The sequence below is a fragment of the Homo sapiens genome, chromosome 1, assembly GCF_000001405.40.
Source record: "Homo sapiens chromosome 1, GRCh38.p14 Primary Assembly".
Taxonomy (NCBI): Eukaryota; Metazoa; Chordata; class Mammalia; order Primates; family Hominidae; genus Homo; species Homo sapiens.
Window position 1 is genome coordinate 7,418,354 of NC_000001.11, and position 21,696 is coordinate 7,440,049.

Sequence of the window (21,696 nt, forward strand, 5' to 3'; positions counted from 1 at the left end):
GTGCCTGACTAATTTTTGTATTTTTAGTAGAGACAGGATTTCGCCATGTTGCCCAGGCTTGTCTTGAACTCTTGACCTCAGGTGGTCCGCCCACCTTGGCCTCCCAAAGTGCTTGGATTACAGGCATGAGCCACCGTGCCTGGCTTCTCAACACTTCCTGATGACCTCCTCTTGTCCCCAGGACCTGAAAGGCTATCTCTGTGCCAGTGGCCCCAGATGCGGATCCCTAGCCCAGGGCCTTGTGTTGAATTTCACATTTGCTGATCCACCTGTCCACTCCACATCGCCACTTGGCTGTCCAACAAGTGTCTCAAATATCAGGAGCCCAAAGCTGAGCCCCTGAACTTCCCCTCCTGAGTCCCACTTCACTGCAGCCTGCCCATCTTGGTCAGCGGCAACCCTGTCCTTCCAAGCTCTCTGGGCAAGCACGTTGGAGCATCCTGGACGCTGCTCTCCTGCCCACCTCCACCCCACTCAGTGCAGCCTGTTGGCTCTGCCCTTGCATGCTGCCGGGACCCGAATCTGGACCACCATAGCCACCTCCACCCCAGGCGCTTCTGGCCATTATCAACACTGCAGCCAGAGGGATCTTCAGACACAGGTCAGATCAGGTCACTGCCCGCCAGAAACCCTGCAGCAGCTCCTGCCTCACTCAAATTAAAAGCCCAGTCACTGCGGCCTCTGTATTCCTAACCTCAGAGCTCCACCTTCCATCCCATGTTGTCTGTGTAGACAGGTGGCTGAGCACTCCTCATTCATGCAGCACTTTCTTCCCTTCCCGAACTTCTTCTTCTTTTTATTTTTATTTATGTATTTATTTGAGACGAAGTTTTGCTCTTGTTGCCCAGGCTGGAATGCAGGGCACGATCTCGGCTCACTGCAACCTCCACCTCCTGGGTTTAAATGATTCTTCTGCCTCAGCCTCCCAAGTAGCTGGGATTACAGGCATCTGCCACCATTCCTGGCTAATTTTTTGTATTTTTAGTAGAGATAGAGTTTCATCATGTTGGCCAGGCTGGTCTCGAACTTCTGAACTCAAATGATCTGCCCACCTCGGCCTCCCAAAGTGCTGGGATTACAGGCGTGAGCCACCATGCCCAGCCCCAATCTCCTTGACTCATGACTTTTGGGGATCCCAGGGCTCCCTTCCTGGGCCACCTCTCTGTCTGCACACAATCCCTAGGTGAGCTCACTCAGTCTCGTGGTTCTAAACACCACAAGGCACATTTAAGCTGATGCTTCCCAAACTGATTCCCTGGGCCTGGCCTCTGCCCCTGAAGTCTAGACTCAGACTCCTAAGTGTCGACTCATCCTCCTGACCTGGACGTTTGCATTTCAAACTGACCACGGCCACATGGAGCCCACACCCCACCACCACCCAGCAGCCTCCTCCTGTCATCCCACCTGAACCAGGACATGGCAGTTTTCACCTTCCAGCCATTCAGCCAAAATCATCAGCATCATCCATGGCCCACCCCATTCTTCCTCTCCACCCCCCACCCATCAGGAGATCCTGCGGGCTCTTCCTTCAGAGTGCTTTCTGCTTCTCACCACCCCTGCAGTTTTGCCACGCTGGACCACTCCACCATCCCGCCCTCCATCCTGATCATCATAACAGCTGCATGTTTCTGCCATTGGCCCCCGTGGTCTCTTTGTTACCTGGAGCCATCAGCTAATGTCACTTTCCTGCTCAGAAGCCACCAGGAGGAGGCTTTGCAGCTTACTGAGAGCAACTGCCCCAACCCCAGTGGGGACCTCCACTCTGGGCCCGCACACCCTCCTGAACCCATGCTGTTCTCCACGCGTGCCCCTCCTTTGGCCTTCACACTCACGAGCCCATCCACCTGGAGCACCTGCCCGGTCCTGCACACTTGGCCGCCTGGCTCCCCCACCTCTCCCCTCTGTCTGGGTAGGCTGAGTTCCATCACCCCAGCGGAGAGACCTTTCCAGACCTGCTGCCCAGTGCCCTGCTCCTTGCTCTGTCTTGTTTTTCTCCATTGCTTTTCTTACCATGTACAGTGCTGTGTTTACTCATTTGTTCGCTGTCTGTCTCTCCACTAGAGTGGAGCTTCGTGGGGCCACATGTGTTTGCTGCTGTATCCTCAGTGCCTACCACAGCACCAGGCCCTGGTGGCACTCAGGAAATCATGTCTAGTGAAGGACTAAGGGAGTGAATAGGCCAGGGAGGGTTTCCCTTCCATGTGGCCCTCGTTTGCTCTTCCCACCGAGCCCCCACCAGCTTCTCCACAGAGCTGCGATGTGTCTTGGCTCTGTCAATAAGTTTCTGTTCTATGCTCAGTCTCCTGGAAATCCATGCGTATAACCTCCCAGTCCAAATATTAGCAATGCCCTGAGCCAAAATCAGCATATTCTTTGAGCCTCCAAGCTGGTGGAGAAGCAGACAGAACCGTTCAAGTACAAATGTGTCTGTGCAGCAGGGCCTCCACAAAGGGCACCCAGCCAGGGGGGCAGAGGGGCCTCAGCTGGGTCCTGAGGGGCACGTTCCCAGCCACAGGTGCTGACATCATCCTGGACTTGAGCCTGAAGCACCCTGAGGCACAAGCTGGACATTCTCTGGGATCCTGAGATTTGCCACAGGCCACACACCAGTGGGGGCTTCTCAGGGGAGGCCTCCCTGGGATGAAAGTCCCAACTGTCTCTTGACCTGAGAAAAGCAGGTGCTGCCCTTCTGTGTCCTGGCTGTCTTCTGGCCTTCATCCAGGACATTTCCAGCACCCCTTGGAATAGCGGCTAGGTGCCCCGTTCAGTAGATATTGGTTGAATTTCTTTTTTCTTTCTTTCTTTTTTTTTTTTTTGAGTTGGAGTCTCACTCTTGTTGCCCAGGCTGGAGTGCAGTGGCATGATCTCAGTTCACTGCAACCTCCACCTCCTGGATTCAAGCAATTCTCCTGCCTCAGCCTCCCGAGTAGCTGGGATTACAGGCGCCCGCCACCACACCCAGCTAATTTTTGTAATTTTTAGTAGAGACGGGGTCTTGCCATGTTGGCCGGGATGGTCTTGAACTCCTGACCTCAGCTCATCCGCCCGTCCCGGCCTCCTAAAGCACTGGGATTATAGGTGTGAGCCACTATGCCCAGCCTATTGGTTGAATATTTTTAACCAGATAACACTGGAGTGGAGAGGCTGAACGTGACGAGTGCTGGATTGCTCTGGGACTTATTAGTGAGGTCACCTGGACAAGTTACTGAACTCTCTCTGGGCCTCAGTTTCTTCCTGTAGGAACTGGAGGTAACAACGGCCTCCCCCTCTTGGGCTGTGTGAGGATTAGTTGATGTGAAATGATCAGAATGGCACCTGGCACGCAGAGGGGCCTTCCATGCCAGCACTCACTGTTGCCACCTCATTGGTGGTACCAGGTGGGTCCGTGATGGAGGATGGGAAGGGAAAGACCAAGGAGGCAGGAGGCCGTTCTCCTGGGGTTGGGTGTCTGTGGTCAACAGACAGAGGGGACCATACCCTCCTGCAGGCCCACGGGGCACTGGGGCATGACCCAGCAGCGCTCACTCCACACTGGAAGCCTCCCTCCCCTGGCAAGCGTTGCTCTGTGTGGCATCTGTGCTGTGCATCTGCAGGTGCCCTCTCGGTGCGCCGTGGCTGGGGGAGTGGAGGAGGGCATGGATCTCCAGCATTCCTCATCACCTCTTCCAGCTCCTGGAGATATTTACAATCAGCCCAGGGAGAAAAGTGCCACATGTCAGAAACCATGAGAACATAAAGCAGGGCTGACTGGCAGGAGGGTCTGAAGGGGCAGAGTGGGAGCTGGACAGGGCAGATTGGGCCCTCCCCTGTGCAGGGGCCTGTGCTGTGGGTCGTACATGCAGGCGTGGTCTCTGTTTTCAAGATGCCTGGTTTCCAGCTGTGGGTCCTGGTGCCCATGCTAGGAGCTGAAGGGAGACAGTGAGTGATGCAAGAGGCTCAGAGGAAAGGCCGGGGGCTTCCATCCAGGGCCTGGTGGATCCTCCTGCTGGGGGTGGGTGAGAGGGGCTTCAGGACCAGGGAAGCCACCCTGGAGGAGACAGCAGATCCCGGCTTCCACGGACAGGCGAGAGGACATAGCAGGAAAAAGGGCACATGTGGGCAGGAAGAGGGTTGACAACACCAATGGCCAGACCCCCTCTGTGCTGGGGGGATCTGTGCTGTGCTGCTGCCCATCACAGCAGCCTAGCAGAGATGGGATGCCATGAGGATGATACATCTTTTAGACAATGGACTACAAATATTGAAAATGAGGATTTTAATATCCCTCTTTTACAGACAGGGAAAGTGGAGGTCAGAGAGGTTAAGACCAAGGCCAAGCAGCCCACAGCCAATGGGGCCAGGCTGTGAACGCTGCCTGTCAACCCTAGGGCCCTCACACCCACTCCATAGGCAGCTTCCCACATGGGGCTGGCACATGCCACCTGGACACAGGGCTCCCTGCAGTCCCCACACCCCCCTACATTGGGGTCTGCAAGCACCAAGTGGAGGGCATGCTTTCCATTGGCTCTTAGAGACTGGCCCGTGGATGCGAGGGGCCCTTTGCAAACCTTTGATGGATTTGTATTTGAAACTGCAATGAACACCTTTCCCAGGTTGCCCTGCAAGATGCATTTTCAGAGCATAGATTAATGGCAGTGCCATTTAAGTGTTTTGAAAATGTTTTCTCCATTAATCTCAATCAGGAGCCGATTACTACCAATAAGGCTCATGAAGACAGCATGAGTTAGATGGAGTCTCAGGGCAAAAGAGCCCCAGGGCGAGGCAGCCCTCACAGCCCCAGGTGGGGGCCTGGCCCCGGGCCAAGCCTTCCTCAATGGTTTAGAAGCAGTGCACAGGGCCAGGCGTGGTGGCTCAGGCCTGTAAGCCCAGCACTTTGGGAGGCCGAGGCAGGTGGATCACCAGAGGTCAGGAGCTCGAGACTAGCCTGGCCAACATAGCGAAACCGCGTCTCTACTAAAACTACAAAATTAGCAGGGCTTGGTGGTGGGTGCCTGTAATCCCAGCTACTTGGGAGGCTGAGGCAGGAGAATCGCTTGAACCCGGAGGCAGAGGTTGCAGTGAGCCAAGATTGTGCCACTGCACTCCAGCCTGGGTGACAAGAGCAAAACTCCATCTCAAAAAAAAAAAAAAAAAAAAAGAACCAGCACACAGATAATGCCTGCTGCCTGCCTGTACCCAGCCTCCCCCCGCCGGGTGTCATTACCTCATTCTCTATTGTTCTACTTAGGTGAGATGCAACTACATATTCAATTTTATATCCTGCTTTTGTCAATGAACATGAATTCCACAAGGGTCAAACTGTGTAATCTCTCTGATCAGTTTTTCTTACCAATAAAATGCGCAACGACTTCCCTTGCTTACCTCCCAGGGCCATCACTGGGTCAGCTGTGATGAGCGAAGGAGGATGTCGTATGGCCGAGTGTTTGTGCTGTTAGGATTTTGCACCTGCTCTTTTTTCATTCATTCATTAGGCAAATAAATATTTAACATACCAGATGGAAAATAAAGCAAGGTACGGGGCGAGAGGACAGAGAGGGGAGGGACTCTGAATGCTGCTTACACCTTTATCAACCAGGCGGCCAACTCTTTGCCCAAATGTCACCTCTTTCTGGCTTTAGGGAGCACTGTGAGCTATTTGGAAGCCCTTGCCGTCTGCCCCAGCACCATGCGGCACCTTTCTTGGGGTGAGGTGCTTGGTGGGCACCTGATGGGGGCAGAAGGATAAGCCCACGTCAGCCTTCCTCTCACCACCGTCCCCACGTGGGCTCTGTGCTTGTGGCTGTCTTCTCTCGGGCATCTCTTTCCTACCTTCAGGGAGGCTGCCCCTCAGGTGCAGCCATTGCATACAGGCAGCTGCTTCTCTCTGGTACCAACATGGAGCATTTTGCAGTCATTTATCACATAAACATCAATAGACATTTTTTAAAAGAAACCAAATTAGAGGTCCTCCCCAACCCACTTCCTCTGCTCTACAAATTAAATTGCTTTGATTTTTCTTATTCTCTGCCAGATCTTGGAAATATCATTTTGTATTGCGTGTCACAGTGAGGGGCCTTTCATGAAGCAGCATTCCTGTTTTGGCCACGCTGGGAGGATGAGGGGGGGTGGGGGTGGGGGACAGCTAGGGATTTGCCTGCCTGAGAGGGGATCCACATGGTGACTCCCATCCCACTTGCTGCATGGGAGCAAACAGGGCAGCCACGTCCTGGCCTGAAACTAAGCCTGTTGGTGCAGCTGACACGTTGTAAGAAAGCAGGCCGCTGTGGATGGCACTTTCTCATGGGCTAAACCCTCTCCTTCCTTCCTCTCAGTCTCTGGCTACAGTTGAGTCATGCTCCAGGCTCCTGGGAGGTGAAAGGTGGCTTCAGAGACCCTGGAACGTGGCCCAAAGCTGTCATGTTGCAGCTCGGATAAGGTGAAATGGGTCCTTGGCCAAGTTCAACAGTCTGGGCCTGCAGTGGGGAAGCCATCCCTGTCCCTAAAAACCGCTCCACTCTGACATAAAGATAATAATGTGTGGGTTTGTCATGGTGGCGCTCATCCTCCCAGAACGCTGTCTTCTAGCCAGCAGTTGAGGGGACAAGAAGGGAGTGTCCCTGCATAGGGAGGGAGGGAGGCAGGATGGACTTGGCTTCACTTCCAGGGGGGCTCGGGGAATCCAATCTGTGCCCTTAGACCTGAGAGCACTGCTTATTTACTTTTGGGAGAACTTGAATGTATCTGAGAATTGGACCAAAGCTGAGAACCTAGTCCCCATAAACAAAGTGTACACCGGCTCACTATTCTCACGTTTGTAAGGTCTCAAAGAGCCCACAGACCCCAGGCCAAGAGGCCTTGATCCAGGACTGTGGGGAAGACTTCCTGCTCTGAGAAGAGGCTCAGAGAAGGTGCACTGCCCAAAGCTCAGGGAAGACAGAGCGAGGCTTGCAGGTGGCCCTTCCATGGTGCCCTGAGGAGAGGCCGCACAGTTCCCTGGGGGCCAGCGGGGCTCTTGGCATTATGGTCTGGGTGCTCAGGTGGCACCTAGACCCTGGGAAAGAGGCCCTGGCAGTCCCCTAGCCCATGTCAGTCATCCTCTGTGAATGGCGATGGGGGCAGGAAGGACAGTCCTCTAGGAGTTTGTCTGGGGTGGACGCTGCAAGGCCAGGGTCCTTCAGAGCAGCCTCCATGGCAGATAAAGGGAGAGTGTGAATGAGGCTGCCAGGTGGGAAGCTATGGGTCGGGGTGTCTAAAGAGCCAGGCACTTCTTGCTGTCAGAGGAGAGTCAGAGGGGGCAGGAGCAATCCCCCCTCCACCATACTGCCCCTTCTCTATGACTCAAAGACGTCAGGCATGGCTGCTACCCACCGAGAGCCCTTCTGGGACTGGCAGGGTCCATCCACCTCACTCTGTTGCTGAGACCAGCAAACAGGGAGCACCCCTTCCCACTTGCTCGCTTCCTAGACGAGGGGACTCCCAGTCTCCCTTTCACTTTGGGCCCTGGTCTCACTCTGTAGCCAGAGGGGCCCAGTTGTGACTCCAGCTTCCCCATCTTCTCCCTGCCCCCATAGCCACTGGGCCAGCCACTGAAGGCCAATGTTTGTGATTTCATTGATTCATGTACCTGCCCTGTGCCAGGCATGGGGCCAGGTGCTGAGAAAAGAGGCTGCAGTGACTGGCACTACACATGCTTGAGATCACAGGTGAGCTGCGGTCCTGGAAAAGGTGGCAGGGTAGGGGCCTCCTGGCATCTGCAGGGCTCCTCCCTCCTTCTGCTAGTCCCATCAGCCACCCCATCTCTAAACACTTCTGAGCAGATTACCTTTCCAGCCTGACTTTAACAGTTTAAAAAGGTGAGGGCACCTCCCCCAGACCTTGCTCTTTAACTATATCCAGGTGCCCAGGGCCAGAGAGAGCTGCACGGTCCGAAGCTCAGAGCATCCTCACTAGCATTTCTGTAGCCCCTCAGAGTCCTAGGGTGCCCTGCCTGGTGGGTGCATGGGGCCAGCAAGGGCAGGTGGTGTCAACTCCCATCCTGGCATCGGATATAGGACCAGCGGTAGTGATCTCCCCCAAAAAACTGCCTACCTGGGTTTCCAACTTGCAGCCCATTATCTATTAATACTAAATAACTGCATCGATTCGATTGATACTACTTGTTAGATCAAGCGGAGGGCCCTGGCCAGGGCTGAGCAAGGCCTGATTTACATGGAGATCGTTTAAAAGATTAACTTTAGTGAAAGCTTCGAGGTTTGGCAAATCCATAATTAATCAGCCTGGCTCAGAGCTTCTGTGATTGGGGGCTGATGGCGACTGTGCAAAAAAGCAGGGGTTGGGGCGGGGGAAAGGTGGAGAAAACTTCGCTCACCGCATTTGGGCAGGAGAAATCTGAGATTCAGAGACGTGGGAGTTCCGAATGAGATCATTTTTGTGCCTGGTTGCAGCATATTAGCTTGCACGTGACTTAAAAATAATGGCTTTCGTAGAATTGCAAAATTAGAGTTAAAAAGACCTGAACGGCTGTCCTCCTGGGAGTCAGGTTGAGATGAAATTTGGTCCTTAAATCTGGCCTGTGTTTTTAGTAATTTATCAGGCCACCAGCAAGGCCTTTTTGCTCAGCGGTGGCGTTCAGAATCGTGTTTTCCTTACTCAACATTCCCAGGTGTCGTCCCCTCTTAAGCTGTCCTAGATGAATCTTCCAGAAGCAGGGCAGCCGACTTAGAGGCCTGAAGAGGTGGCATCCATCCTCAAGGACAAGCGAGGCCTCCAGCAGGTGGGGGACAGGAGGTGTCTGAGCCGAGAAGAGCTGTTTATTACAACCCTGAAAATGAGCTTGGCCATCTTTGATAAAAAATTAATGCTGCGATGACATCAACCTTTTGACCGCTTCCTAAGTGGCCCACAAATGTCAGAAAAGCTCCGTTCCTATTTGTACATTGTGAATTCCAGCACATTTAGTCACTAATCTTAAGAGATTAATGCTTAGCTATTTGGGCTGCAGGAGCACAAATGTAATATTTATAAGTAGATTGCGAGTGATCCAAACTCAGTATTTCTACGGCAATGGGTTCAAAAAGACCTCCTCAGACACCACTGATTGTCACTCCTGCCAGCATATCCAAGCTGCAGGAAGCTCTGCAGAGTCTAAATTGGAATGTGAAGATTTAGTACGGGGCTACACAATAATTTGCTATAAGCTGTATAAATAGTATTTTATTTGGGAATTCATTGAAAGGAAGTGTCGAAGGTCAAATCCTTCCCAGCAGTGAGTGCATACGTATTTAATTTTCAATCTCTAGTCTCTTTTATAATCCTGAGTGGCTTGGCTTCAGAAATATTTTTAGCAATGGGAAATTAAATGTCAATTTGAGAAAGCTCTCCCCTGGGATGGGCTGTCCTCTCCCTCTGCACACATTCTGCCGCCCAGGGACGAGGCGCAATCCCAGCTGGTCCTCTGGGGGAGAGTGGGTTACCCCTGAGCACTCAGCCCCTCAGACATTGCAGGTCCTCTAGGGTGAGCCTTGAGGTACAGGGAGCTCTGGGTTCCAGAATATTCTCAGGGCCCCTTGCGACTCATCCTTTCCTTTCTAGGGTACCCTCTTTGGGGATTACAGAAATGAGCTCCAAACTACAGAGCAGACCTGGCAAGGGAGGCTCCAGGACGTGCTGCTGCCACGGGAGGGAAGCAGGAAGCAGGCAGCACTGGAGTCGGCGTCCGTGGGAAACACTGTGTCTCTGGGAAGCACTGTGTGTCTGAAAGGTTCTGGCCAGCACGCAGAAGTGCTATCTGGAGGGAGGGTGGGGGCAGGAAGTCCACGGGCAACCATCAGACTCTGGAGAGCTATGGAGACGTTGGTACTGTTGGGAAGCACAGCCTGGGGCAGGGAAAGTTGTCTCTTGCACACTGGAAGGCGAATTTCTAGAGGGGAAGACCTCGTCGGGCGAATGCACTGTTCCATTGCCAGCACCTAGACCAGTGCCCAGGGTGTAGGAGGCGCTCACTGAGTATCTGTTGTATGAATGGGATCTTTGGGGTGGGGGCTCTGAAGGAAGGGAGGAGATGGAGGCACACCTTGCTGCCTCTAGGATTTTACCGAGGGCCGATCACCACATCAGGGATTGTGTGGCTCTCATGACCCTGCCCTGCTCAGTTGCCTCTGGTGGCTTCCCGGAGCACATAGAGTCAAGTCCAGATGCCTTCCCGCATAGGTGATAGGTCAGGGCTCTGCAGTGGAGGCCCAGCACTGCCTCCCAGCAGCGTCCCTACCACATCCTCCCCTGAGTCCTATTCTAAAGTCATCCAGAGCACCTGGCTCTTCCTCTGACCCCCCACACTGTCCTCTCCACTAGGATGACATCCCCTCTCCCTCATCCATCACTCCTTCAAAGCCATGACTGCCCCACCCCACCACCCCTGTGCCTAATCAGAGTGATTCCCTGAGTGCCACGTCTTGTATTGCGTGGCCTTTGCATATTGGTTTCGGAGCTGGTTGTCTGTGTGCGTCTGATTCCTGCAGCTAGCACCGGTGCCTGGCACCACTGTAAGGGCTCAGTGGGTGTTTATTATTAAATGTTATTTTCTCTGGTCTGCTGGCAGCGATGGCAGAAGTCATCTTAGCAGATGGTTATTGCATACAAGCCACAGGCTGAACGAAATACCCAGCACCTCTAATGGACGCCTCTAATGGAGAAGTTTCCTCCCCATCTTGAGATTTCTTGGAGTGCTTTCTGCTTCCACGAAATGCTCTTCCATTTGAGAGTGTTGTCAGAATTTGGGAGCCATAATGACCTGGGTTGCGATTAGAGCCCCACCACCTACAGGGTGTATGTCCTTGAGTGAGTTCCTAACCTCTCTGAGCATCCGTTTCCATACTGGATACACAATTGGATACACGTACCTCATATGGTGGTTGCGAGGTTGAAATGTAATGATTTATGTCAAGCCCTTAGCATAGTGCACGGCATATTTTAAGTGTTCAACACATGGAAACTATTCGCATGGTGATGATGGTGATGAGGATGGAGATAATGATGGGCATAATGGTGGTGATGATGATGGTGATAACTATGGTGATCATGATGGTGGTGATGATTATATCAATGATGGTGATTATGGTGGTGATGGTGATGATGACAGTGATAATACGGGTGATGATGATGGTGATGATGGTGGTAATGGTGGTACTGAAGGTGATGGTGATGATGGTGATGATGATGACAGTGATAATATGGATGATGATGATGGTGATGCTGGTGGCAGTGGTGAATGGTGATGCTGATGGTGGTGATGGTGATAATGATGATGATGGTGATGACAGTGCTGATAATATGGATGATGATGAAAGTGATGATGGTATGTTAGTTCTCACATTGCTGTAAAGAGATACTTGAGACTGGGTAATTTATAAAGAAAAGAGGTTTAATTGGCTCACATTTCTGCATGCTGTACAGGAAGCATAGTGGCTTCTGGGGAGGCCTCAGGAAACTTTCAATCATGGCAGAAGGCAAAGGGGAAGCAGGCACATCTTACATGGCTGGAGCAGGAGGAAAAGAGAGTGGGGGAGGTGCTACACACTTTTAAACAACCAGATCTAGTAAGAATTCACTGTCACCACGACAGCACCAAGGGGAATGGTGTTAATCATGAGAAACCACCCCTATGATCCGATCACCTCCCACCAGGCCCTACCTCCAGCATTGGGGATTACATTTCAACATGAAATTTGGGTAGGGACATAGATCCAAAGGTGGCAAATCTGCTGCTACTGCTGCTGCTGATGGGGATGTTGATGACAATGATGGCAATGATGGGGATGATGGTGGAGGTGATGGTGATGATGACGATGGCAGTGGTGATGACGGTGATAACATGGATGATGGTGATTATGGTGGTGATGATGATGATGGTGGTGAATCTGCTGCTGATGATGATGGGGATGATGATGACGAGGATGATGGAGATGTTGGTAGAGGTGCTGCTGCTGCTGATGGCAGTGGTGATGACAGCAATCACATGGATGATGGTGATTATGATGGTGATGGTGACCATGGTGGTGAATCTGCTGCTGCTGCTCATCAGGAGGATGATGATGATGGTGGAGGTGACAGTGATAATAACGATGGTGATGGTGATGACAGCGATAACATGGATGATGGTGATTTTGGTGGTGGTGATGATGATGGTGGTGAACCTGCTGCCGATGATGATGATGGGTATGAGGATGACGATGATGGGGATGATGGTGGAGGTGATGGTGACAGGGATCTTGATATGTTTCTACCATTTTGAGGCTCCATGAGGATCCATGGCTTCAGGTCTTGGCAAGCCTCTCTGTTACCTGACCAGGGCCGGGACATAGAATAACCTGCCCCTTCCCTCTCATTCTCTGCATGTTCACCCACAGGGAAGCCTGCTGGAGAGGCCTCTATTTCTGCCCTGTGGGCCAGTAAAGGCACCAAGTAAAATCTTTGCTAAATCCCTGCACTTCCAAGGCTCGCCATCTGTTTCCTATTAGAGTCTCATGCATCCCTTTGACATATTTTTATTGTCAGGTTAGAAGAAAATATTCCACTCATTTGCAACATTCTCATTATATTCCCTTTATAACAATTTCTAAAAGAGAATAAATATAAAATATTTCTCTGTATTGTGGAGATATTTCAGCCTGACTTTAATATGCTGCATAGTTTTCCAACTCACAATTCTTCTAACCTTGTGATGACAGTTAAGAAATCTTCAGGCTGGGGAAAACATGTGGATCAATGAGTTAGTGGAAGTGCAGGACACTTTATGAGGACTCAGGGAGAGCGGCTTTCTGCCGACTCAGAGATGCCTTCTCAGCCTTTTGAGAATAAACTGTTCCAACAGTCCCAAAGTCTCTTTCCCTTGGGCCATTTCTAAGAACTCAGAGATGTCTCCTTTGAGATCGATCAGCAGCTGGGTCCTCAAGGAGCCTGGCCAGGAAGCTTGGTTTGAAAGGGCAAAAGTGGAAACCCTTGTCCACAGCCTCTGAGTAAGCCTGGCTGCTCCAGGTGGCAGTCACGACTGACCCTACCCCAGAGGACCCAGTCAAAGGGCATCCAGATTTCTCATTTCCACCCGGGAGTACAGGTCCTACTGTGCCTTCAGCCCCAGGCTTGTGGCTGCCCCAGGTCCCTGATCGCTGGGAAGAGCGTCCTGCCATAGACTCAGCTCCACACTGGGCAGCCCCACTTGGCAGATCGAAGAAGGCAGCATTCCCAACTGCCCTCCCGAATGGACGGCCACTTTGGGGTGGGCGCCAGGCAGTTAAGCCTGCTGGTGGCCTCTACTTCCTCCTGCCGTGGCGCCGCTCAAGCATACCCCAGCCCATCTGCAGATCAGGTCCCCTTAGGTGAATTCCTGCCCCTGCTCCCTTGCCAAGTGTCTCCCACTCCCAGTAAGCCCTTCCTTCAAACTGCCTCTTCCCTGCAGATCTTTGAGACCAACTCTCTAAGGCTTTTCTGATGCCTAAGCCCCTGGAGACCACCCTTACCTCCTCCTGCCCCATCCCCAAGCTCCCAAAGTCCTATGTCATCTGTGCAGAGGCCCTTTGCACATGCAGCATGGGAGCCACTCATCCTACCAGACTCTAGGACCCCCGAAGGCAGCGACTGTAATGCTGGTGCCAGGGGAACAACCTGGGCCCTGAGCCAGGCAGAGGCAACCCTGGTCCCCAAGAAGCCTGCAGTCAGTTCTGGAGAACAAGACATAAACCTGGGAAGATGATCGAACAACGCTGACAAAGTGGACTAGAAACAAGGCTGACCAGCGCAGAGCCCAGGGGCCCTGGGAAGAGCCGGAGCTGTGAGAACCGCTGTTGGCTGTGGGTATGCTAGGTGCCAGGAGCATCCGTATTCTCTTTTAAGCCTCACCCAGCCTTGTGAGCTAAACATAACATCCCTATTCCACAGACCCAGAAACAGGCCCAGAGAGGGAAAGTGACCTCCCCAAGGTCACACAGCCGGAAAGTACTGAAGTCAGGTTTTGAATTCAGGTCTAACTATAAATTGGTGTCCCAGGGAGTTCAATCCAGGAGGCCTTTCTGTGGGTGTTTAACATAATTTAGAGGATCTGAGGGAATGGGAGGAGCATGTTCCGGTAGCGGCCAGGGAATTGAGGCACAGAGACCATTCTATGCAGCAGAAGACAAGTGAGAGGTGGCTGCGTGGCATGAGAAGTCAGGGCTGTCTGGGAGAGGAAGCATCCTGGTGGGGTCACCACGGGGCCAGGATGCTGAGGGGCCAGGGCCAGTGCTCTGCCTCCGTCCGGGCCTCAGCCCACCTCTGGTGCTGGGGTGGTCCGTCCTGAGCAAGCCTTGGGAAGGGAATCTGGCTGCTCCCCACACAGCAGCTGCCTTTCTGTTGTCTGAGCTCCACTCAGTTGAACAAAATTTGCCGTCCCCCTTGTGGCCCTGCATCTCCTGTTATCTCTATTCAGGGCCCTTCTGCCTTTCAGCTTCACCAGGAGAGGATTATTTACGGCCTTGTTTATTTCGCTCTCTGCAGGCAATGCCCAGGCTGAGGAGACAAGTAGCAGTGGGCAGCCTGCAGCCAGGGCCCAGCCAGCACCTGCCTTTCTTCGTGCATAGGTTCTGCACCGGGGCCAGCCCCAGAGGGATCTCCAGACCCGACAGACCCCCAGCCTTGGTGAAATCACCTCCTCAGAAGGAAGCAGGCAGCCTCCCTCTGACCACCGGGTATGCCGGCCCCCAGTCCCCATGGCTGAAGGGTACTTGGTCCCTGTGGCCTTATTCAATAGAGCCAGGTTGCCTGCCTCCTGCTCATGGAGGTCCCTGAGGGAGGAATTGCCCAGGAAATAGGCCAGCCTAAGGCTTGTGGCTGCCCTAGCAGGCTGGTGTTGGGTGTCAGAGAAGGAGGCAGGGCAGAAGGAAGGGCTGTGCTGCCTGCATCCTCCACCTGGGCATCTCTATCTAAGCCTCCAGCAACCTGAGCAACCTCCTTGGTGGCCACAGCTGTGTGACTCCCTCCTTTCCATTCCTCTGCAGCCCTTCAGATGGGACTGTGGCAGCTGGGAGCTTCTGAAAGCCACGGCCTGTGTGATTCCCACTCCTGGCCAGGCCCAGCCTTTGCCTTTGAGGCTCCCAAGGACCACCTAGCAGTTTCTTGCTGCAGGGCCCCTCCAGGTACCCACTTCTCAGGGAGGGGCCAGGTCCAATGGCAAGGTGAAGCCACTACTACCTCACCAACGGAGAAAAAAGGACGAGCCAATTGATGTACGTGAGCACCTGGAGGAACCCCCAGAGAACACTGCTGAGCAAAACAAGCCAATCCCAGAAGGCCACATACTGCACGGTTCCATTTAGATAATATCATTGAAATGACAGAATTATAGAAATAGAGAGCAGATTAGTGGCCGCCAGTGGTTAAGAAGGAGTTGGGCTGGGAGGGAAGTGGGTGTGGCTGAAAAGGGTAGAAGGAAGGGCCCTTGTGATGGAAGATTCCGTTTCCTGACTGTCCTGGTATCAACATCTGGGATGTACAGGAAAGGGAGACTCATGGGGCCAGGACAGCAGTAGCCCCAGCCTCAGCCCCACAAGCCAGCAGCACAGGATCAGCCCTCCTCATTCAATGCAAGGGGAGGGGGCCCTGGTGGACGGGGAAGCATTAAGCCTATTGCCTGGACCTTGGGCTTCACTGCTGCCTGCTTCGCCCTGTCCCCTGTCCCTCCCCCACATCCCTTCCACCTCCTGGAGAGTCCCTCCCCCACATCCCTTCCTCCTCCTGGAGAGTCCCTCCCCAAGCATCCATGCCTCCCAGCTCTCTCTCTTTTACTTTCCAAACTTGCTCTCAGAAAGGAGGAGGCTGGCCCTCTGCTGCTCTGAGCATTTGCAGAACTCTCTGCTCTTTCCCAAGGGATCAGCTCATGAAGGCAACCATATCCTCACCCTGTGCAAAAAATTGCAGGATACAGGAGCCACGGGGAGCATGGCAGTAAGGACAGCTCCCTCAGCCCCGAACACTGCACAGACGCTGGCCTTCTCCATCTCGCCAGGGCAGACACTGTCTGTGTGACATACTCCCCATAGGGTGGCTAGGCAGTGATGGGTTGGCCACCCCTGGGGCTTAGGAGGAAAGCACCATTCATTCATTCATTCATTCATTCATTCAGATTCAGCAAATCCCCACTGAGTCCCCCGCTACCTTCTAGGACCTGCCCTAGGTACTGGGTTCTCTAAAATGAGTCTGACATCATCAGACATTGGCTTGAGCCTTAGTCTGTTTGTGCTCCTGTAACAGAGTGTCTGAGATTGGGTAACTTAGAACAGAAATTTATTTCCCATCAATGGTTCTGGAGGCTGGGAAGTCCAAAGCCAAGGTGCCAGCATCTTACCTAGTGAGGGCCTTCTTGCTCTGTCCCCGAGTGGTGGACAGTAGTGGGGAGGGGAGCCGGGCATGGTGGCTCACGCCTGTAATCTCAGCACTCTGGGAGACCGAGGCAGGCTGATCGCTTAAGCTCAGGAGTTTGAGACCAACCTGGGCAACATGGCAAAATCCTGTCTCTACAAAAAAAAAAAAAAAAATACAGAAATTAGCCAAGCATGGTGGCACATGCCTATAGTCCTACCTACTGGGTAGGCTGAGGTAAAAGGATCACCTGAGCCCAGGAGGTTGAGGCTGCAGTGAGCTGAGATCCCACCACTGCACTCCAGCCTGGGTGACAGCAAAACCCTGTCTCAAAACAAGAAAAAAGAAAAAAAAGAAGGCAGAGGGCATGCTAGCTGAATGCTGCCTGAAGCCTTTTTTATAAGGGCCTGAATCCCATTTTGGCAGGAGGAGCTCTCATGGCTTTCTCACCTCTTACAGACCCCACCTCTTAAAACAATCACATTGGCAACAGCTGCATTTTGGAGGGGGTGCATTCAAACCACAGCAGTTTGCCTAGACCTGCTGAGCTCACAGTCCAGTGGGGAGATCAGGCCCCAGGCTGCCTTTATTCTCACTGTCTCAGGCATGAACTCAGGCCAGAATCCCATCATTCTAAAGCCCAGAATCCCAGAACTCCAGAATTCCAAGTTTGGGACTCCTGTACCTCTCCCTGTGGGATCCCTGCCCTAGGCTGGGTTCTTGCTCTGCTGCTATTCCTGTTTTGAAACAGAACCTTCCGGTTTGTTGAGGGTTGGGTCATCATCCCCTCTGTTACCCTGAAGAGAGCAACCGGCAGTGGGCTCTTCAGGGTTCTCAGCCTGGTTCACTGTGGTGGCAGTGGAGCGCAGTCCCCATGCTTGGGGAAAGTCCCCCAGCTTTGGCGGAATCAGCGCCTCAGAAAGAACCAGGCAGCCTCCTTCTGACCAGGCAAGGGCTGGCCGCCGTTCTCATGGCTGAAGGGTACTCAGTTCCTATAGCCCGATCATGGCATTGTCACGGTGGCACAGGGGCCCGCCTATCTGAAGTCAGGGCAATCCACGCAGAGAGCCCTCCTCATGGCCCGGCTCAGGGAGCCACCCTCCCATTCCTGCACCCTTGCCTTCTGGCAGGGCTTGCATGCCTCCGAGCTCACAGCATGACCCAGGGGCCTGGCTGTGCTGCACCCTGGGGAAGATACTGTCTTAGGTACAAGAGGCACCTCAGGAGCAGAGGAGGGAGCTGGGAAGCTCCCCATGCCACCACCCTGAGCTTGCAGCAGAGAACCAGCCCAATTTGCAAGCAGGAGCGGGAGGCTCTGGGCTTTCTTAGAACATTATTTATCAGGTAGACTCTCAGCCTCATGGCAGCTCGAGCCACAGCCTGATATGAATATTGATTGGAAAAAATGTCTCTCCCCTCGTCCCCCAGGCCCGGGGCTGCCAGGGAGCTCTCCAAGCAGTCTGGGAGGCGAGAGGGAGCCGGGCATGGGGAGAAGAGGCTCATGGGAAGAGAGTGTGTTTGAAGCTGGGAGATGCCCTGCGTGCCGCAGGCCCCTGTCCTCAGGAGCAGATGAAGCCCTGGCTTCCGGGCTGGTTCCAGCATGGGATTGTTCAGGATTGTTCAGGGAGGGGGCCTGGGAGGGAAAAGGGGAAGAGTGACGCCCCAGTTCCAGGCAGCAGACTTAATGCTAGGCTTGGAGGGGTGCTTCTGTCCTAGCACTAAGCACCTGGAGGGGTGCTCCCAGCTTCCTGCAGCATCTAAAGCTCTGTCTTGTGGGCCCGGCAGAGCCTCTGGGCCGCCCTCTGCCTGCAGACCACAGGGCCCCAGGGAACCTGAGGTGGGAGGAGCAGGGTGAGGTCGGTAAGGGGTCCCTCCTTGCCAGGGCCTGGTCCCTCCTCCCAGCTCCCCAGCTCTAGAGGTACTAGAGCAGTTGAAGGCTGGTTCCTGGACTTGCCCTTCCCGGGCCTGTGGCATCTGAAAGGGTTATTACTTCCAGGGTCATTTTGTTTAGTTTCTGTCTCTTATTAACTTGTAGTCCCTCGCCTCTGTACCCTGGGAACGGCAGTGGGGCTGGGGTCCCAGCGGGGCGGATGCAGAGGTAGAATGCAGGCTGTGGCTGGGAGCTGAGGGCCCTGCAATCTGGGTGTGGGATGTAAAGAGGTAACTGAGGCTGGAGGTTGTGGGTGCCGGGTACCAAAGTGGGGCACATTCTGAGCTGTGGGCAAAGCCTGCACGTTGGGGGGAATGGCAGGGCACAGCGGCATTGCAGGAGGATCTAAGTCCCCCATGTCTCAGCCCCTCTGGGGCACAGCTGGCAGGCTTGGCCAGGTGGGACAGGAGCAGAAAGGGGAAACTGACAGCCGCAGGCAAGCAGAGGAGGCCGCAGAGGAAGAGGAGGGAGGCCCAGCAGAGGCCCTTCCCAGCCCTATCCTCCCCGGATGCCTGGATGCCGGAGGCAGGTCTCCGGTGTCCAACCAGCAGCCTGGCCCCTCTTTAGCCTCCAGGCCTGGAAAGCGGATCATCCTCCTAAGGGGACAGATGAGCCTAAAAGCACCACAGCCTGGGGGCTTAAGCCACAGGGATCCATCCTGCCACCCTGGAGGCTGCACGTCCATTCCTCCTGAGGGCGGTGAGGAAAACCCTGTTCGGGGCCTCTCTTGCCTTCTAATGCTTTGCTTGGTGTCCCTGGGCTGGGAGAAGCCTCATCTGAGCTCTGCCCTCATGTTTACTTGGCATTCTACCTGTGTTCGTGTCTGTGCCCACACTCCCTGCCGTGTAAGGACACCAGTCATGCTGAATCAGGGCCCACCGACTCATCTGAACTCCTTACATCTGCAGAGACTTTCCAAATTAGGCCACATTCTGAGGTCCTGGGGGCTAGGACTTCAACGTATGAATTTTGGGAGACAACATTCAATCCATAACCGGGGGCCTCTGACTTTTAAGGGAAGAGACCCCTCCCCTGGGAAACCTCAGATTCTGGGTCTGTAGAAGCCTGCAGCTTGGTGGGTTGGAGGGCCTGACACAGGGTGCTGCCTCCCCAGCTGGCCCTGTGGGGTAAGTCCCGGGCCAGCAGGCGCATTCACTCATTCAGCGAGTACGACCGGCTCCTACACGGTCGGGCGGTGTGTCCAGCACATGGGTGAAGCAGGCCGCACGACAGCCAAGGTTTTACCACCTGGGTCTTGCTTTCTGGGAAGAAGCCAGAGGACAAACAGGTCAACAAATATAAAAAATCATCTCAAGTGGGGATGAGAGCTAAGAATGAAGTCACGTGACGGGAAATCACAGAGGGCCTTGCTGAGAGTGGGACGTTTGAGCAGAATCTGAAGGAGAGGGGCTTTGAGGAACCCAAGAAGAACACCTCAGGAGTAGGGGTGTAGAGGCGGAGGCAGAGGCAGAAGGCAGGGCTGGGTGGTGTTGGGGGAATCAGAGATGCCAGCTCTCACCCCAGCTGCGGCCCATAGGGCTGCCACCTCCAGGCAGCTGGGCAGGGCCTGGGTAGGTCAGAGGTCTTGAGACTGGGGTGAGGGGCAAGACGCACTGTCCGAGCGGCAGGTTTGCGGGGGTGGAGCATGGTGGAGAAGGACTCTGTTCTAGGGAAAACCCAGATACAGCTTTCTTTGGAGTCTTTTAAATCCTTTGAGAAGAAGCCAAAGTGATGAGTGAGCCAGGGTGGCCGGGAACAAGGGGAAGTTGTGACTTTGAGCTGGTCTCGGTCACTCGGGGCAACCATGGCTGGAGAGACTGGGATCCCCCAAGGGCCTGGGCTCAGCCAGGAATCTCTATCCTCACCCTGAGGGCATCCCAGGGTCCCCATCATCCACCACTGGCCCCTGTGTCCAGGCAGGAGGGGTCAACTGTACCCAGAGCCGTGGGAGGCCCCTGGCTTCCAGTTTCCCTCCTTCCTGTGGCTGCAATGCAGCTGTGGCCCCAACATCTGTCTCCTCCGAGGGGCAAGGGCAGGTGGAAGCAGGCAGAGGGGGTCCCGCACACAGGAATCAGACAGGTTTTAGAACTCAAAGGGCCTCGAGGGTCCTGGTGGAGCAGAAAGAGCATGGCCTGTGGAGCCCGGAAGGCCTGACCTGCTGTTACTGAGCAGGGTTGGACAGGAAGAAAAGTCCTGGCCACTCTCAGCCTCAGCTTCCTCATCTGTAAAACCCAGTGTCCACCTCCATATCATAGTGAGACAGTGAGGATGGAATGACCATCTCTGAGAGTCCTGGGTGCGGTGCCTGCACAGAGAGGTGTCACGGAGCCGCCTCTCATCACACCAGGGCCAGAGTGAGCAGGGCTCGTGCTGGCTCTGAGAGGGAAGGCCACCACAAAGAGGGGCAGCTTCTGGCTGCAGGCAGGTGGTCGGTGGGGGGCTGCAGGCCCAGAGCTGCGTCCTCCCAGGGCCGAGGGCCCCTCCAGGCCCTGCTGCTCCCAGGTGGGGTCTGCGGTCCTGGGTCGGGCCCGCCCTTGCTGACTGGACACAGGTGGGACAGGCTCCCCATTTCTGTCATACTGCTTTCTGCCTGGGTCCATGCTGCCACTGACCCCTCCTAGGTGGGGGATCTGTGTCCCCTGGACCACACTGAGCCATCGTTGGCTGCGACTCTGATGTTCTTCGTTGTCTGGAATCGAGCCCCTCCCTGAGACTGTGCAGTGAATGAGCCCCCTGCCCCTGCACCACCCAGGTCAGGCCGAGTGGACACTACCCTGAAGCACGTCTCCCGGTCCAGCCCCCACTCCTGCCTCACTGCGACTCTGCCACCTGATGCCTCCATGGAGGGTCGATTCACCTGCCTGAGTCTGTGTGGGACCCACCACCCATGCAGGACCAGGGCTCCCCACTGAGGACCCTCTGAGCTACTGGTTAACAGGCTCAAGCCTGCGCATGGTACGGCCACCGTCCTACATAGGTCCTGGGATCCAGCCTCCAGAGTGCAGGCCCATAGGCCAGACACCACCTGGGCAGCTTCTCATTCAGGACTGCCCCACTGTGATGATGGGGAGGAACGGAAGTGTGCAGGCCTCTAGGGTGCAGGTCTCTGAGCTCCCCAGGTGCAGATGAAGGGGTGAAGGGAGGGAGAGTGCCGAGCCCAGCCTCCCAGGAGGCAAAGCCTGGGTATCTGAGGCTGTCCAAGGTGCGGAGTGTCGGAGTCACGTGAGCTGCATCTCCAACCTTGGCTTCCTCATTTGCAAAATGAAGAGGCCCCAGTGAGCTCGGAGATCCCTTCACAGAATCATCGCTAGAATTCCGTGAGGCTTTGTTGAGGCCCAGCAGGCCTGTCTCAGTGGCAAGGGAGGCAGGTGGCTCCTGGAACGCAGGCAGCACTGGGCGGG

At 54.4% G+C, this 21,696-nt stretch overlaps 1 protein-coding gene across 24 annotated transcripts in view, besides 1 other annotated feature; it reads left to right on the forward strand.

Annotated features, from left to right (window-relative positions):
• Nucleotides 1–21,696, forward strand: part of CAMTA1 (calmodulin binding transcription activator 1) — a 984,253-nt gene that overhangs the window by 632,900 nt on the left and 329,657 nt on the right. The gene's annotated exons all lie outside the window — the stretch shown is intronic.
• Nucleotides 12,736–13,237: an enhancer, noted in NCBI's record as "H3K27ac hESC enhancer chr1:7491149-7491650 (GRCh37/hg19 assembly coordinates)". NCBI's record gives its function as "activates a minimal SCP1, AML or CMV promoter by ChIP-STARR-seq in naive H9 embryonic stem cells {active_cell/tissue: H9 hESC(naive)}" and the evidence as "EXISTENCE:reporter gene assay evidence [ECO:0000049][PMID:30033119]".